The sequence below is a fragment of the Homo sapiens genome, chromosome 16 (genome assembly GCF_000001405.40).
Source record: "Homo sapiens chromosome 16, GRCh38.p14 Primary Assembly".
Lineage (NCBI taxonomy): Eukaryota > Metazoa > Chordata > Mammalia > Primates > Hominidae > Homo > Homo sapiens.
In genome coordinates, this window is record NC_000016.10 from 2,658,030 (window position 1) to 2,675,635 (window position 17,606).

The 17,606-nt window shown below is 48.6% G+C and overlaps 2 long non-coding RNA genes across 3 annotated transcripts, besides 3 other annotated features; one reads left to right on the forward strand and one right to left on the reverse strand.

Moving 5' to 3' along the window:
- Positions 1-359: 359 nt before the first annotated feature.
- Positions 360-15,410, reverse strand: ERVK13-1 (endogenous retrovirus group K13 member 1). Its single transcript, NR_040023.1, has 3 exons — positions 15,254-15,410; positions 11,382-14,541; positions 360-5,378 (listed from the first exon to the last, which is right to left on the reverse strand). It is a non-coding gene; the product is annotated as an endogenous retrovirus group K13 member 1 (long non-coding RNA).
- Positions 11,847-12,063: a silencer, noted in NCBI's record as "fragment chr16:2719877-2720093 (GRCh37/hg19 assembly coordinates)". NCBI's record gives its function as "represses an EF-1alpha promoter that drives an FKBP-Casp9 reporter gene in an ReSE screen in HepG2 liver carcinoma cells {active_cell/tissue: HepG2}" and the evidence as "EXISTENCE:reporter gene assay evidence [ECO:0000049][PMID:32094911]".
- Positions 15,061-15,380: a silencer, noted in NCBI's record as "silent region_7063". NCBI's record gives its function as "represses an Ori minimal core promoter by ATAC-STARR-seq in GM12878 lymphoblastoid cells {active_cell/tissue: GM12878}" and the evidence as "EXISTENCE:reporter gene assay evidence [ECO:0000049][PMID:35858748]".
- On the forward strand, positions 15,094-17,365 carry LOC124903627 (uncharacterized). Of its 2 annotated transcripts, none has more exons than XR_007064945.1 (2): positions 15,094-15,196; positions 17,049-17,365. It is a non-coding gene; the product is annotated as an uncharacterized LOC124903627 (long non-coding RNA). The 2 variants fall into 2 exon arrangements; XR_007064944.1 differs by lacking the exon at positions 15,094-15,196 and adding an exon at positions 15,666-15,741.
- Positions 15,391-15,780: a silencer, noted in NCBI's record as "silent region_7064". NCBI's record gives its function as "represses an Ori minimal core promoter by ATAC-STARR-seq in GM12878 lymphoblastoid cells {active_cell/tissue: GM12878}" and the evidence as "EXISTENCE:reporter gene assay evidence [ECO:0000049][PMID:35858748]".
- Positions 17,366-17,606: the final 241 nt, after the last annotated feature.

Below are 17,606 nucleotides of genomic sequence, written 5' to 3' on the forward strand. Positions count from 1 at the left end.
TCACGGAGCAGCCCTGGCCGCCCTGCAACTGAGGCCGCGGCACCGAGGGTCCCGCCAATGCAGCAAGGGGCGAGAGACACCACACCTAAGACTCAGGAGCAAGGTCCTGTCCCCGCTCCCAACCCCGGGGCTCCTGGAATCACCGAGGCAGAACTGAAAAGTGAGTGCGGGCCCCTTTCCCACATGTTCCACTGCAAAGGTCAACACACGCCAGGCGCATTTCAGTGAGGCTTCAAGTCTTCCCTGCAAATCTCATCAGCCTTTTCTGATGGCATTCAATGCACAGCGGTCACTTTCAGCTACAACCCCTTCCTACTGCAGTCGAATTAATTCCAAAAGGGAAAAAACAGGTTAAAGAATGGGACTTTAACGATGAATTTATTGCAAAAAATAAGCCCATAGCCAGAAGAATCCTGACTGGCATCCTGCTGAGACACACAGCCTCTCCTCAGCCCTCTCCAGCACGGGGAGAGGGCACTGTCACCAGCTCCGCAAACACGCAGGAGACGGGGACCTCCAGAACTAACGTCCTTGGTCTCCAGACGTACCTTCAAACCTCATCTTTAAATATTTTGAATCCCTGCGTGCTACAAGCTGATTTGAAACACAGATTGGGCCGGTCCCAGCACGGTGGCTGGTAGAGAGGGCATCTGATCTTGTCTGTGGAATGATGGAAGTCACTGGACTGTCCAGGAACTACATGCCCACCTTCATCAGATGGAAACCACACACTTGTTTATTCTGCAGGGGGCCGTGTGCTCAACAGTGAGCTGCTAATGTCAGGCTTGTCCATCTTTTTCATACACAGGCTCTACAGTACTGTCAGTTCCCAATTCTGTGGGTCCCTGTATAATCCAACTCTTTAAACAGAAATCAGGCTGTGTGCGGTGGCTCATGCCTGTAATCCCAGCACTTTGGGAGGCCGAGGCGGGAGGATCCCTTGAGACCAGAAGTTTGAGTAGCCTGGGCAACATAGTGAGACCTCATCTCAATAAATAAATTAAATAAATAAATAATGTAGGTGGTGCGCACCTGTAATCCCAGCTACTTGGGAGCCTGAAGCACGAGAATCACTTGAACCCATGAGGCAGAGGTTGCAGTGAGCCAAAATCATGCCACTGTACTCCAGCCTGCGTGACAGAACGAGACTGTCTCGAAAAAATAAATAAATAAACAGAAACCAGAATCGGGTGCTCTTATAAGGATGTGTAGCCCAGAAACTCAATCTTAACACATTCTAAATGACCTGGAATTTCTTGGAGCAAAAATTCCAGTTTAAATATCAGGAAAATTGTCTAGACTAAGAGAATGGAAACGGACTTTGTGCAACCAACATCAGGTACAGAAAAGAGACCCCAACAATCATCATGAACCCAAACAGGCCTTTCTCCTCACTAAGAGAAGAGAACACACACAACCCATGCCTTGTTACTCTTTGAGAAGATGTGCCCTGCCTGTGATCTAGCAGCTAGAGACGGAACATACAACCTGTTCTCAATATTCAAATAATTTTTTAAAGGACATGGTATCACACTGAGCAAGTGAATAATGCAATTCTGTTGTAGAAGAATGAACGGCTGAAAAGACCTGAGCAACTCATGTCCAAAACTTGCAGTTTCCACAGCAGCACTTCCTCCCAGCACACTGCCCTTTGAACCTGCTTTCTAAACAACTGTGCTGGGCAGCCCGGTGACCACATGTCATCGCACGGCAGGTGTGGAGCAGCATAGAGCACCCTGACCCTCGCACCTGCTTGGGGGACTGTTTCTGCACCCAGTGCTTCTCTGCAGCCACAACCTGCCCCACACAGAACTGCAGCACTACGTGGCATCCTGTCCAAGTCCATTTCCACAGAAGGGGAAAGTGCCACGCCAGTGCCCACTCTCTTCCAAACACATCCTCTCAGAAGGGACTGGCCACGCTTGCCCCCTCATTTCTGCAGCGCTTCCCAGTTCATCACCTGCTTGCCAGACTCCATCTCCCACCGGTGTCAATCAGCTGCCCTGGAGCATCTAAACCCTGGGTCAGGCGGCTCAGGGGATGAGCGCATAGATTGAAAAAGGAACACTCCCTGTTTCTCCCCAAAACTGTGCTGAAGGCAGTCTAGAGGGCCAAGACCTGTTGAGAAGAGCTGCCCAAGGCCTCTTTTCAGGCCCCACATCTCTGCAGGCTGCTGCTGGATCCTTCTCATAAGAACACATCTCAGAAGAGCAGAACAAACCACTTCCCTCTTGTAGGGACCAGCCCCACAGGGTCGGTGGGTCTCTCCCTGTGTGTGGCGATGAGAGAGTGTAGAAATAAAGACACAAGACAACGAGATAAGAGAAAAGGCAGCTGGGCCCGGGGGACCACTACCACCAATGTGCGGAGACCGGTAGTGGCCCTGAATGTCTGACTGCGCTGTTATTGGATACAAGGCAGAAGGGGCAGGGTAAAGAATGTGAGTCACCTCCAATGATAGGTAAGGTCACATGGGTCATGTGTCCACTGGACAGGGGGCCCTTCCCTGCCTGGCAGCCGAGGCAGAGAGGGAGAGGAGACAGAGAGAAAGACAGCTTATGCCATTATTTCTGCATATCAGGGACTATTAGTATTTTCACTAATTTACTACTGCTATCTAGAAGGCAGAGCCAGGTGTACAGGATGGAAAATGAAGGCAGACTAGGAGCGTGACCACTGAAGCACAGCATCACAGGGAGACAGTTAGGCCTCCGGATAACTACGGGCAAGCCTGACTGATGTCAGGCCCTCCACAAGAGGTGGAGGAACAGAGTCTTCTCTAAACTCCCCCGGGGAAAGGGAGACCGCCCCCCTTTCCCAGTCTGCTAAGTAGCGGGTGTTGACACCTTTTGCAAAAGGTGTTCCTTGACACCTTTTGCTACGGCTGGGCCACGATCCGCCTGGTAACGGGTGTCTTCCCAGACGCTGGCGTCACCGCTAGACCAAGGAGCCCTCTGGTGGCCCTGTCCGGGCATAACAGAAGGCTCGCACTCTTGTCTTCTGGTCACACTTCACTATGTCCCCTCAGCTCCTATCTCTGTATGGCCTGGTTTTTCCTAGGCTATGATTATAGAGCGAGGATTATCATAATATTGGAATAAAAAGTAATTGCTACAAACTCATGATTAATGATATTCGTATATAATCATATCTAAGATCTATATCTGGTATAACTATTCTTGTTTTATATTTTATTATACTGGAACAGCTCGTGTCCTCTGTCTCTTGCCTCGGTGCCTGGGTGGCTTGCCGCCCACATCTCCCCCCTTTTTATTAACTAGAATCGCCATCGCCATCATTGCTTGTTGTTGACTTCGGACTTGGTTTCGGACTCCTTAGAGGCATCTGCAGACTAAAAGGAGACAACATAAGCATACCAATATTAATAATGCCAGTAACAACAATGATCCTCTGACGGGTTTGAGCCATTTGAAGGGATTAAAATCAGGTAATTGTTTAGTTATGCCTTCAAAAATGTGTGAGCCAGGAACTGTGGATAAATGGGCTTGTGAAGCCTCAAAGATTTGCTCTTTAAGTTGTGAAATATCCAAGGTTAAGTTATCATCCCAGGCTTTTAAATGTCTTGAGACATTTTCCCAGCTATGTTGATCTTGATTATAAGCATAAGGCGTTATGCAATAATCAGAAGTATTCCAATCACACTGTAATTGCATACGGTGTTGCAAGTTCATAACTCTATCTCCCAGCCAGGTTACACTTTGGCGGAGATCATTAATCTGATTAGCTAATTTTTGATCAATTTGCGCCTGAGAATTCCAAAGTCTGGAGGAATTTTTCTGGCATGCTTCAACATAGTGAGCAGTTTGAACAGAACTGCGGATGGCAACTCCAGCAGTTGCTGCTGTTGCAGTAACCGCAAGTAGTCCTGCAAGGACTGCAATAAGAGTAAAAATAAATCTCTTTGTTCTTTTGAGGATGTCTTTAAGAACTTCATTGACTATGTGAATAGAGGGGGAAGACTCCCATGGACGATGTAGAGAAACTGGTATCCATACCCCCTCCCTAGCCCTTACCAAGAGAATACTTGTAGTGGGATTAAAAGTTGCATCAATGCAAGTGAACAGCTTACAGTTATGACATTCTATAGTTTGTGCATCAGGCATCATAATTATATTTCCAACCAACAGCATGTAAGGGGGTTTGACACAGCTCCTAATGGGTATCACCCATTCAGAAATAAGGGTGATGTTGAATGTGGGTGTTTTGGTTTTAGTACGAAGGAGCTGATAGGTAGTGTTCCATATCTTTATTCCCGACAAAGCTGCAGCTAATTTCCATAGTTCAGGATGTTCTGGGGTAAAAAAGGGATGAATAATTTTTGGTCTAGGAGGAGCAATACCTGTGTCCATCCATTTAAATGGGTAAGGAGACACCCGTTGTCTCATCGTGTAAGACTGCCACCCATGCTCTATATAATCTAAGGAATAAATAAACTCCGAGCATAAGGTATTTTTGCTGGAGCAATCTTGCCAATAATGTCCTTTTGGAGCCCAATCAATAACAATACCCATGGCTAGAGTTTGGAGTACAACAGCCTTGGGAGCATTACAATTATCCCATAAAATTGAAGTCACTATAAAAGGCCCATTTGTAGGTTTCTTTGGACAGTCCGGCAGTCCTTTTGTTTTATTAGTTTTGGTAGTGAGAGGAACTCTCCATGCCTCATGTGGGGTACGTTTGACAGTGAGAAGTTGAAAAGAGTTAGTACTGAACACATTATATACTTGATAAGAATCATTTGTAAAGGACGGTACAGTCCACATCCAATTCTGTTAAGAATAAGCTAAACAACCAGGCGACTTCCCAATACATAATGGTGGATATTTATAGCCAATTGACAGATTAAAGTGCATACCTTCTTCTTCCGGTTGAGCTGGAAACCGATCATCATTAGGGATCGGCATGAATGCACTATTATTAGTGTAAACTTCTACTGGAGAGTCCCTCCAGGAGACAGACCGAATTAGAAGGGGAAAAGGAACATATGCCCAATAAGTATAATTTTGAGTTGCCCCGACCGGTGGTATACTTACCGCTGCACTGACTACCATAAAGGCAGCCAGAATTATATTACCAGTCATTTTTGGGATTCCTTTTTCTGTTAAGAATTTTTCTGTTTGATGAGATAAAATCTGTATTCGACCCCAAGTAGGTGGGGTTGAACGAGAGGTGTTGTAGGTCACACGGCGAGATTTTGTCTCAATGTGGATGTCATGAAGTGTATGTATCAGGCGGTGAAAGTTGCTCTTTTGTTTCCGATGGGTCTTTGCCTTTTCTTTCTGGGAGCGTTTCATCTTTGGAGTTATGGTGCAATTTTAATTGTCGGGAGGGGACCCACACAGGCTGTAGTTCTTTTCCTGGGGAAACACAAACAAAACCCCTACCCCAAGTTATGACCGTGCCTAATTCCCATGTGTTAGTTTTTACGTCCTTCCACCATACCCGCATTCCTTTTTGTGGATCAAATTTATTTCCAGTGAAATGTTGTTCTGCGGCTGTGAAAGGTTGATTTCTTGTTAAGTTTAAGAAATTTAGTGTGAAAAGAGCCAGATTTAATTGGGCATGAGGAGTAATAGCATCTCCCTTTGATTTAGTATCCTGTTTACGAAGTTGATCTTTGAGTGTTTTATTGGCTCGTTCAACCAAGGCCTGTTCTCCAGAGTTATAGGGAATGCCCGTTGTGTGAGTAATTGCCCATGTCTGAGGAAACTTTTTAAAAGCAGCACTAGTGTAGGCGGGGCCGTTATCAGTTTTTAGTTTCTCAGAACAGCCCATAACCGAGAAACAGGAAGGCACATGTCGTTTACCATGAGCTGTACTTTCGCCCGTTTCACAAGTGGCCCAAATAAAATGAGAAAAGGTATCAATAGTTACATGTATAAAAGAAAGCTTGCCAAAAGGAGGATAATGAGTCACATCCATTTGCCAAAGAGCATTCTGTGAAAGTCCTCTAGGGTTAACTCCTGAAGACAGTGGTGGTAAAATTAACACTTGACAAGTAGGACAGTGACGCACAGTAGTTTTAGCTTGCTTCCATGTAAGGGGGAACTTGTTTCGGAGTCCCGCAGCATTGACGTGAGTTAAAGCATGAAAATTTTCTGCATCTGTAAAAACGGGAGTAACTAATGTATCAGCTCTGGCATTTGCTGCCGAGAGGGGTCCGGGGAGGGGTGTGTGGGCCCGAATGTGAGTACTGTAGAAAGGAGAAGACCTTGCTCTGAGCACAGACTGAAACTTTTGAAAAAGAAGGAATAGGTTATCATCAGGCAGAAATTTGATTAAGGCAGTTTCAATGTTGCGAGCAACATGTACGACATACGCTGAGTCAGAGAAAATGTTAACTGGCTCAGGAAAATCTTCAAGGACAGCCATAACAGCAGGCAGTTCAGCTCGTTGTGCTGAAATAGCCCCTGTGTTAAGAACACGTTCTCTGGGTCCTGTATATGCTGCTCGGCCATTAGAGGAAGCATCAGTGAAAACAGTGACAGCTTCAGGTAATGGGGTGTTTCTAGTAATGTTACGTAAAATCCAAGACGTGAGTTTAAGGAACTGAAATAATTTTACATGAGGATAGTGATTATCAATTATACCTGGGAAACGTGCCAAATGCACTTGCCAAGCAATGCAAGTAGCAAAGCCTGTTGAACTTGTAATCGGGTAAGGGGAACAACGATTTTTTGAGGCTCTGTTCCTGAAAGACGAAGGAGACGAGAACGAGCCTGACCAATTAAGGTAGAAATTTGATCTAGATAGTTAGTGTACGTAAAGAGCTGTGTGGGAGAAAACACAATTCAATTAAATTATGTCCCTGAATAATGAGTCCTGTTGGTGAATGTTCAGTGGGAAAAATTAGTACTTCAAAAGGTAAATGTGGATTTACTCTGGTAACCTGAGACTGTTGAATGCATTTTTTTATAAGTCGTAATTTAGAATCTGCCTCAGGAGTCAAAGACCTTTTACTGCGTAAATCAGGATTGCCCCGTAATATTGCAAAAAGATTAGACACAGCATAAGTAGGAATGCGTAGGGAGGGACGAATCCAATTAATATCTCCAAATAATTTTTGGAAATCATTTAGAGTTTTTAAAGAGTCTCGTCTGAGTTGAACTTTTTGAGGCTTAATGACCTTATCCTCTAGCTGCATCTCTAAATAGTGATAAGGAGATGAAGTGTGAATTTTTTCTGGGGCGATAACCAAGCCAGCTGCTGTGACCACTTGCTGTAATGCAGAAAAACAAGATATTAATACAGAGCGTGAAGGTGCTGCACAAAGAATATCATCTGTGTAATGAATAATATAACATTGGGGAAATTTATCTCTAACTGGCTTTAATATGCATCCCACATAATATTGACAAATAGTGGGGCTATTGAGCAGACCTTGAGGTAGGACTTTCCAATGGTAACGTGCTGCAGGAGCAACGTTGTTAAGGGCTGGAACAGTGAAAGCAAATTTTTCAAAGTCCTGAGGGGCCAGAGGAATGGTAAAAAAGCAATCTTTAAGGTCAATGATGATAAGTGGCCAATACTCAGTAATCATACTGGGGGAGGGCAAACTGGGTTGTAATGTCCCCATAGGCTGAAGGACAGCATTTACTGCCCTAAGATCAGTAAGCATTCTCCACTTACCAGATTTCTTTTGAATAACAAAAACAGGTGAATTCCAAGGAGAAAAAGAAGGTTCAATGTGTCCCAATTTTAACTGTTCAAGAACCAAAATATGAAGTGCCTCCAGCTTATTTTTTGGGAGCAGCCACTCATCTACCTAGACAGGTTTTTAAGTTCTCCAGGTCAAAGGGATGGGTTCTGGAGGCTTGATAGTGACCACTTCTAAAAAGAATAACCAAGTCCTGTAGAGTCTGCTTTAGGAGTAGGTATGATATGCTCAGTGATGCCTTGTGCTGATTTTTCTAAACCCAGACCTTGAACAAATCCCATTTTGGTCATCATATCTTTACTCTGCTGGCTGTAACTGCCTTTAGGAAAAGTAATCTGAGCCCCCCATTGATATAAAAGATCTCTTCCCCACAAATTAACAGGAATGGGTGTAATGAGGGGGCGAATAGTTCCAATCTGTCCTTCAGGCCTGTGCAATGTAAAATTGTGGAACTTTCATATACCTGTGAAGCCTGACCAACACCCACGAATGCTGTGGAGGCATGCTCCTTTGGCCAGTGTCGGGGCCATCGATGTAAAGCGATAATGGACACACCAGCGCCCGTGTCAATCATTCCCTCAAACTTTTTTCCCTGAATATGCACGGAGCACACAGGACGAGTGTCAGAAATTTTGCTGGCCCAGTAGGCTGCTTTACCTTGATAATCTGTGCTACCAAAACCTCCCTTTCTTGTACTAGAACTAGATCCCAAAGGAATGTAAGGAAATATCAAGAGTTGAGCAATGCGGTCCCCAGCTGCTGCATTCCAAGGGACTGCAGAGCTAATGATAATATGAATTTTACCTGAATAGTCAGAATCAATTACACCAGTATGTACTTGAACACCTTTTAAATTTAAACTTGAACGTCCCAGTAGCAACCCGACACTGCCAGTCGGCAAGGGACCAAAAACACCTGTAGGAACAGCAATACGTGGCTCTCCAGGCAACAAAAGAAATATTTCTGGTACAACAGAGATCTACTGCTGCTGAGCCTGTGGTGACGGGGGACAAGCATTGTACTGAGATTGGTGTTGGGGCTGAGGCATTAGATCCTGTGGCACAAATTGCTGAAGTGGGAATTGGGGTGGAGGTTGAATGGATTAAACTGGGAAGGCTCCTGTCTGGCTGGACGCCAGCGGCTGAGAGTTGAGGAATGCCCCATTGTTTAGAGGGGGCTGGGGCCGGCCCCTCATCCCGTTTCCCTGATTTTTAAAAGGCCGTACAGGATTGCCATCAATATCAAATCTGGAATGGCATTGAGATGCCCAGTGAAGACCCTTTTGGCTTCGTGGGCATACAGCAGAAGGTGGGGTGTCTTGTTGCTGAAAAGTTTCTTTTTGTTGTTGGTGGTGATGTAAAGGACGGCCACCTGCACGCCGAGGGCAATTTCTTTCTGCATGTCCCTTCTGGCCGCATATGAAGCATTGGCCAGAGAATTGTCCAGGCATTCGAATAGAGGCCATAGCTTGTGCCATAATCGTTGCTGTATGGAGAGTTCCTCCCACCCCTTCACAGGCTTTAATGTAGGAGGTGAGTATATCACCACCCGGTGGAATTTTACCTTTGGCGGGGCAAACAGCCGCCTGACCATCTGGATTTGCTTGTTCATAAGCCATAAGTTCTACAACAAGTCTTTGGCCGTGGCTATCAGGAATAGCCTTTTCTGCTGCGTCTTGAAGACGAGTAATAAAGTCTGGGTAGGGCTCATGTTGTCCCTGTCTGACGGCTGTGAAAGATGGGCATACTTTACCATCATCTTGAATTTTGTCCCAAGCATCTAAGCAACAATTTTCGCAGTTGTTCAATAACCTCATCATTTAGTATAGTTTGGTGTCGGATTGCGGCCCATTGACCCATTCCCAGTAACTGGTCAGCCATAACGTTAACAGGAGGATTAGTGCCCTAAGACAAATGCGTTCCTGGACAGCATCAACCCACCAAGTCCTGAACTGTAAATATTGGGATTTAGATAAGACTTGATTTTGCCAAAATTTCCCAATCATAGGGTACCAAACGTTTATCTTCTCCTAAGGCTTTTAATGTGGAACGGACAAAAGGAGAGTTGGTGCCATATTGTTTCACTGATTCTTTAAAATCTTTGAGGAATTTAAAAGAAAAACTTTCCCATGTAGCAGGGCGTAGCTGAACCTGGCCTGGATGGATGGGGTCAGGCTGAATTACCACCTGAACAGCGGGAATGCCAGGTATTGGCTGTGCCCCAGGAGCAGGCAACTGCGGAGGCTGATTATTTACCTGAGCAGCCTGAGTTTCGGGCTGAGGGGCTTGATTATCAGCCTCTTGATCTTGTTGAGCTGCGGGGTCAGCCGCCTGCTGGGCAGGATCAACAACAGGCTGTGGGTGGTTTTGTACTGCTGGGGTGGCAGGTACTGGAGGTTGTAAAATTACAGGAAATTGCCAAGTTTCAGGATCCCCATATTCCCTTGCTTGAACTATAGCCCTCATAAGCGGAGTGTCATCTTCAGGGATGTATGTAATTTGTTGCTTATGAGCGGCAATGGTAGTATTGGCAACAGCAGTTGCGACCGGACCAGGAGCAGAAAAAGAGGTAGAATTTTGAATAGAAGGAGAGTCAAAAAACTGAAAGCCAGGGTGACAGCAGATTACCTGCTGAGCAGGTCTTTCATGGGCCTGAAAACCAGGCTGCCACGGCAAGTGTGAACCAGGCTTCAAGGGAGTCTGTGACTCTGAGTCCGATTTGCAGGAAAGGAACCAGGCTTCAAGGGAGCCTGTGACTCTACCCAAGTCTGATTTATAGGAAAGGGACCAGGCTTCAAGGGAGCCTGTGACTCTGAGTCCGATTTGCAGGAAAGGAACCAGGCTTCAAGGGAGACTGTGACTCTACTCGAGTCTGATTTATAGGAAAGGGCTTCAAGGGAGTCTGTGACTCTAACTGAGTCCGATTAGGAGAAATAGGATTGAGGGCCTCATTACCGGGCCGAGAATTGGAAGCCTCTTTTCTGAGCTGTTCATATAGCGGAGCCTCTGTACCGGGCTGCATAGAAACATAATTTATAGACTCGTTTACAGGCTGCCTGGTCTCATCTGCTATTTGCACAGCGGCAGCGTTGAAACAGTGAGGAGAGACAGGAGGGTCTGGCTGCAATGGCTGTTGATATGTTTCAGCTGAGTTTTGCTGATTGGGGGAGATTAGTATATTTAGGTCAGTTAAAAGATCATCATAAAGCGGCAATGGGGGTGCAGTAGCCTCTGGTGTAGGTGGAAGTGGTGCAGGCATGTCAGAGTGGAAGTCCTCCTTTGAAATTACGTTCTCAATTTGTGTAGTATCCTCAGGGGAAAGAGAGCTGAGCGCTTCCTCGACCTCCCTCAGAGGAGAGGAAAGAGGGATCAGTCTCCATATTGTCCTCCTGAGTCTGTAAGGAGTCTAAGACAGAGTGAACCGAAGCCCAGATTGACCAAATGGTGGGTGGGATAAAATGTCCCCCTTTATGAGCAATTTTGAATTGTTTGCCAATCTCAACCCAATCTTTAAGTTCTAGAGTTCCCTCAGTCGGAAACCAAGGGCAAAGAAGATCTACAACCTCAAATAGTTCAATTAACTTTTCAGTAGAAACTTTAACACCTCCTTCTTTAAGAAGAGTTTTTATAAAATTTAAATAAGCCAAATACTTTGTACTGGCCTGTCCCATGGTGTCCCCAGAAAACTGAGTGCTCAAGCTTACCACCAAGTTTATAGACTGCAATCCTCAGGAATCTCTCGTTGAACTCCTCCGCTGATCCCGCACTCAGGGTGCAACTTCACACAGCGAGGGAGAGCCCCACGTCAGAGCGCCAGATGTAGGGACCAGCCCCACAGGGTCGGTGGGTCTCTCCCTGTGTGTGGCGATGAGAGAGTGTAGAAATAAAGACACAAGACAGAGAGATAAGAGAAAAGGCAGCTGGGCCCGGGGGACCACTACCACCAATGCGCGGAGACCGGTAGTGGCCCCGAATGTCTGACTGCGCTGTTATTTATCGGATACAAGACAGAAGGGGCAGGGTAAAGAATGTGAGTCACCTCCAATGATAGGTAAGGTCACGTGGGTCACGTGTCCACTGGACAGGGGGCCCTTCCCTGCCTGGCAGCCGAGGCAGAGAGGGAGAGGAGACAGAGAGAAAGACAGCTTATACCATTATTTCTGCATATCAGGGACTATTAGTATTTTCACTAATTTACTACTGCTATCTAGAAGGCAGAGCCAGGTGTACAGGATGGAACATGAAGGCAGACAAGGAGTGTGACCACTGAAGCACAGCATCACAGGGAGACAGTTAGGCCTCCGGATAACTACGGGCAAGCCTGACTGATGTCAGGCCCTCCACAAGAGGTGGAGGAGCAGAGTCTTTTCTAAACTCCCCCGGGGAAAGGGAGACCCCCCCCCCGCCCCTTTCCCGGTCTGCTAAGTAGTGAGTGTTGTTCCTTGACACCTTTTGCTACCACTGGGCCACGATCCGCCGGGTAACGGGCGTCTTCCCAGACGCTGGCGTCACCGCTAGACCAAGGAGCCCTCTTGTGGCCCTGTCCGGGCATAACAGAAGCCTCGCACTCTTGTCTTCTGGTCACACCTCACTATGTCCCCTCAGCTCCTCTGTATGGCCTGGTTTTTCCTAGGCTATGATTATAGAGCGAGGATTATCATAATATTGGAATAAAAAGTAATTGCTGCAAACTCATGATTAATGATATTCATATATAATCATATCTAAGATCTATATCTGGTATAACTATTCTTGTTTTATATTTTATTATACTGGAACAGCTCGTGTCCTCTGTCTCTTGCCTCGGTGCCTGGGTGGCTTGCCGCCCACACCCTCTTACTACTGGGAGCTCACCTTGCCAGCTCTAGACTCAGCTTGGACTGGCTGTCAGGGCAACGTTGCGTACAGGAATACATCACACTATGCACCAGACCAGCCACATAAGGAGGAACTCCCCAAAAGGAGAGAGAAAATCGAAAGCCACTTCTCTCCATGCTCCCTGCTTCTCCCCTCACCTTCCCCTAAGGATGCAGCCACCTTTGCAAAAGACAGAACCACCCCAGGGAGGGCAGGAGGCCACTCTGCCTAGTCCCCCAATTCTACCTTCAGCAAAATCATTATGTTTCTTTGTTCCAAAGGGAGGATTCCAAGCCTCACCCATTCAGAGTATCGGCCCTCAAACAAGGCCGAATCACAGCCTCTTCCCAAACAGCTGCTTTCTGACAGCAGGAGGCTGAAACAGGCCCCGGGGTCACAGAGTTCAGCCATCTGCCAAAGAAATATGTACAGTTCTTCCATATGAAGACACCCCTCCTACCTCCAGCACGGCATGGTCAAGACATTCAGGCCCAATCCCCGGGAAGACATCCTGGGCAGTGGCACTGAAGATTTCCTTACAGAGTGCTGGGCTGAGCTGCCCGGCAGACCCTCCCTCGGGGGCTCCGAACGTGAGGGGCAGGGTGACACTGGAGTCTCTACCACTTATGAGGCAGGTACCTAACGCCTCTGCAGCTCAGCTTCTGCACCTGTAAAATGGGAACAACACGTACCTCGCAATGAGGTGTGAAAGTACCTAGGGAAGCGCCTGTCTTGAGTAGTCAGATCAAGAAATGGTACTCACTGCCTCTGGCCCACTTACCATCAGACTGGGCCAGGCCACTGTCTGCCTTCACGCTCGCACTGCTCCCCCTGTTGGCTGTCCACGCGGGCACACAAGGGAAAGTTCACTGGGAAGGGGGCTTCTCACACAGGGCCTACAGGGCCACCCTAAAGTCCAGATGCAAACCCACTTGAACCCTGAAGATCTATCCATCCTCAGGTGAAAATCCAGTATCAGGGCTGCCTCTACCATTACAGACAGGAAACACGGCATGTTCTCACATACGTACACATGGGGGAATCCAGCTGACAGAGATGCAAAACGCTTGTTCGTGACACTTCCTCATGTGGAAATCCATCTTGCATTCTATCATTCTTGCTCACTGGATTCCAGTGTTTTTGTGCAAAAAAGCCATCTCATGCGAAGAAAACTGCAGATATGAAATGTCCATCATGTGGAACTGCCAAGGCCATGAGAAAATTTGCTGTTTCCTCTTCCCGTGGATGACACCAAATACACACCTTGCATTGGAACAGCGTTACTGGGTGCGAGTTAACCTCACAAACTTCGCCATGACTGTCACTGGGTGCAGGTTAACCCCACAAACTTTGACATGACTCTCGGCCCCAGCCTCCACTGAGCCTCGCCAAGCCGCCTAATTCATGGTTTTGCGTGTTAGCCAGGGCACTCTGGGGTACAGCCACACATGTCGAAATAGCGAAAGGCATCCCTTTCAGCCCTCCAACTTTTTCTCAACAGAACCTTCTTCCTTAACACTTCGGATTATTACGCATCTCTACAAACTCCACGAGTGAGCTGCAGAAGGTTCAAGAGCCTCCTGATGTAGTTACAAAATTCAGTGTCACTCTGCATTTTTCTCAAAAGAGGGCCCATACCTTCCCCGGTCTCTACTAAAAACACAAAAATTAGCCGGGCATGGTGGCACACGCCTGTAATCCCAGCTACTCGGGTGGTTGAGGAAGGAGAATCGCTTGAACCCGGGAGGTGGAGGTTCCCGGGTCAAGATCGCGTCACTGCACTCCAGCCTGCGCGACGGCAGCGAGACTCCATCAAAATAAAATAAATAAATAAACAAAAGTCGCATCCTGGAAGATAAGGAATCAAGTAAACTTCTTGGGTTTTCCTTCATTTAAAATATTTGCCTTTTAAATCCAATTTTAAAGCCATGTAGACGTTCTTCCATCACCCACTGCACATCGCATGCAAGGCATAAATTTTTAAACCGTCGTCCCCAGACTGTAGAACTTAGCATATGGAAAACATAAAAACACGAGGGATACTTTTAGCGACAGAGAGAAAATAAACACCAGCGATACATTTAGCAAAACATTTCACCCAACAAGTGGTTTGTTTTGATCCTTCCCCTAAAATCCCTCCTACCTGTCAAGCTCACTTTCCCCTCGGTGATCCTGCACATTCGGCCTCCCAGGGGCTTCCCACAACGCTGAGCACAGCCACGGGCAGCAAAAGCACCCAAATGCCCCTTGGCCGGGCCGTGAAAGGCGAGTTTTCCCGACCAATGTCATCAAGAATCTGGAAAAGGGGGCCCAGGAGCATCAGGTGCTTTCAGCAAGAACTTGCACCTTCTGCTTCTCTCGCAGGCGGAGGCGCCAAGGACCCCGTTCCAGGTGGAAGCCCAGGGCGGTTCCTCTACAGACAGAACCGAAAGGTAACCCTGGAGGCTCGGCTCCAGGCTGCGCCAAGCCGAAAACAAACTTTCCAGGCACTTCCACCCCGCTGGGCCGGGTGACACCTCCCGGCCTCCCCCGCCCTCCGCGCGTCTGTCAGCGCCCCCGGCCAGGCCGCCGCCCGACGCAACCCAGGCCCGGTCTCCCCGCCGCAGCCAAGCAGCGCCCTCGGCCGGCGCCCGCCATCCCCGGCCCGGCCGCCCGGCCGCAGGTAAGGCGGCACCCGACCCTCGGGACCCCGGGCCGCCCCGCCTCGCCGCGCGCTCACCAGCTAGGTGGTGGTCCTGGCTATGGGCCTCGCGTCTGCGCGGGCGCCTCCCCCGAAGCGCTCCGCCGCTCGGGGCCTCCTCAGAGTCCTCCTTCCCTAAGCTGAACTCCAGCAACGGCGGCCCTCACGCTGTGCCCGCGACGCCCCGCCCCCCGCGATGCCCCCGCCCCCCGCGACGCCCCGCCCCCGCGCGACGCCAGGCAGGACTTCCGTCGCACCGCCGCCGCCGCCCGCGCCCATTGGCCGCGCCCATCGTCCCTTCGCCGCGGTCTGAGTGGGCCCCGCCTCTGCCCCAGCTGCATTTCCGGGTTGGGGCCTGGCGGGCGGGAGAGGCCCGGCCCCGCCTGGGCAGGGGGACCTCGCGCGAACCAATCCCAGGGCCCCGGGGGCGGGGCTCTGCGGGGGTGGGGCGAGCTGTCATTCCCAGCTCCCAGACCGGGAAACTGAGGCTCAGAGGGGACCTGGCTCCGGCCAAGGTCACGCCCGAGGTAATAGCGGGGCTGGGCTCGAACCCGGGGCTCGGACTCCGGAGCCGGCTCTGCGTAAATGCGGAGGCGCAACTTTGCTAGTTTCACAACTAACAAGCGTTCACGGAAGGAAATCTGGGCTATAAGTCACATTCATAAAGCGGAAAACAACCAATCCTACCACTGTCCATAGTCCTGGAGGCAGCCTCAGAACTTCTGTCCTTACCTATAAATGATTTTGTGGCGGTTTTTTTTTTGTTTGTTTTTCTTTTTGTAGTTGTTAATGTCAATCATGATTTTTTGCTTGTGTTTTTTGTATTTTAGGTTTTTTTGTTTGTTTGTTTTGAGACGGAGTCTTGCTCTGTCGCCAAGGCTGGAGTGCAGTGGCTCGATCTCTAGTCACTGCAACCTCCACCTCCTGGGTTCAAGCAATTCTTTTTTTTTTTTTTTTTTTTTGAGATGGTCTCGCTCTTTCCGCCTGCCTCGGCCTCCCAAAGTGCTGGCATTAGAGGCGTGAGGTACTGCACCCAACTGAAATGGGTTAACTTTTTTTTTTTTTTTGAGACGAAGTCTCGCTGTGTCACCCAGGCTGGAGTCAATGGCAATTTCACTGCAACCTCCACCTTCTGGGTTCAAGCAATTCTCCTGCCTCAGCCTCCTGAGTAGCTGGGACTACAGGTGCGTGCCACCACACCCAGCTAATTTTTGTATTTTTCGTAGAGATGGGGTTTCACCATATTGGCCAGACTGGTCTCGAACTCCTGACCTCATGATCTGCCCACCACGCTTCCCAAAGTGCTGGGATTACAGGGGTGAGCCACCCCGCCCGGCCAACTTTATTTTTTTTTATACTGACACATGGCCATGCAGATCTTGAGTAATGAACAGAGAAAAGGGAAGCAGTGAAGGAGAAACAACTTGAGGAAATTGTACACGGTGAACTTTAGAACACAGAGCCTGGGGTGGAGGAGCCTCGGGGCAGGGGCCAAGGGTGACAAGAAGGCTGTCCTGTGAAGAAAGCAGCTGAGCAGGCACCAGGGGCAGAGAAGACAGGGGCAGCTGAAGGGCAAGGAAGAAAGGACAGTTCTCAGTTGTCCTGGAGGCCTCAGTGGCAGCCAGAATGCTTGGCCAAGCCCAAGGGAAGCCAGACCAGGCAGCCCCTCTGCCCTCTGGAGACACAGAGAAACCTCCCCACTGGTCAGGTCCAGCTGCCCATCCTAGGACACCACACAGGGAGCGGATGTCTCACCTGGCCCAGCAAGATTCTCCGGACCCAGGCTGGAGGAAGGAGACTGACCCCACTCTTTATCTCATCCTTTCCTACCCAGAACCTCTGTCCATGACCAATGGATGACCTCAGGACAAGAATGCAATAACTTGGCCTGATGTTGTGAAGTCACGGTCCATCCAGGGATGGGCAAGAGGATGACCAGAACCATCTCGAGAGGGGCTGGAAAGCTGCCTCACGTATGTGGTCCTGTGCTGTGTCTACATGTTCCTCACTCACCTCTACAACGCTCATGGCACGAGGGAGGAAATGGGGTGCAGAGGCTAAGGAACGTGCCCAAAGCCCTACAGCTGGTGTATTAGTAATCTACTGCTGTGTAACCAATTGCCCCAAAATTTAAATGTGTAAAACAACAAAGACGTCTAACTCATGGTTCCTGTGGGTCTGGAATCCAGGAGAGGCTGGGCTGGGTGGTCTGGCTCAGTGAACTTGCCATCAAGATGCTGCCAGGGCTGGCCAGGTGCAGTGATTCACACCTGTAATCCCAGCACTTTAGGAGGCCGAGGCGGGCAGATCAGGAGGTCAGGATTTTGAGACCAGCCTGGCCAATATAGTGAAACCCCGTCTCTACTAAAAATACACAAAAATTAGCTGGGCA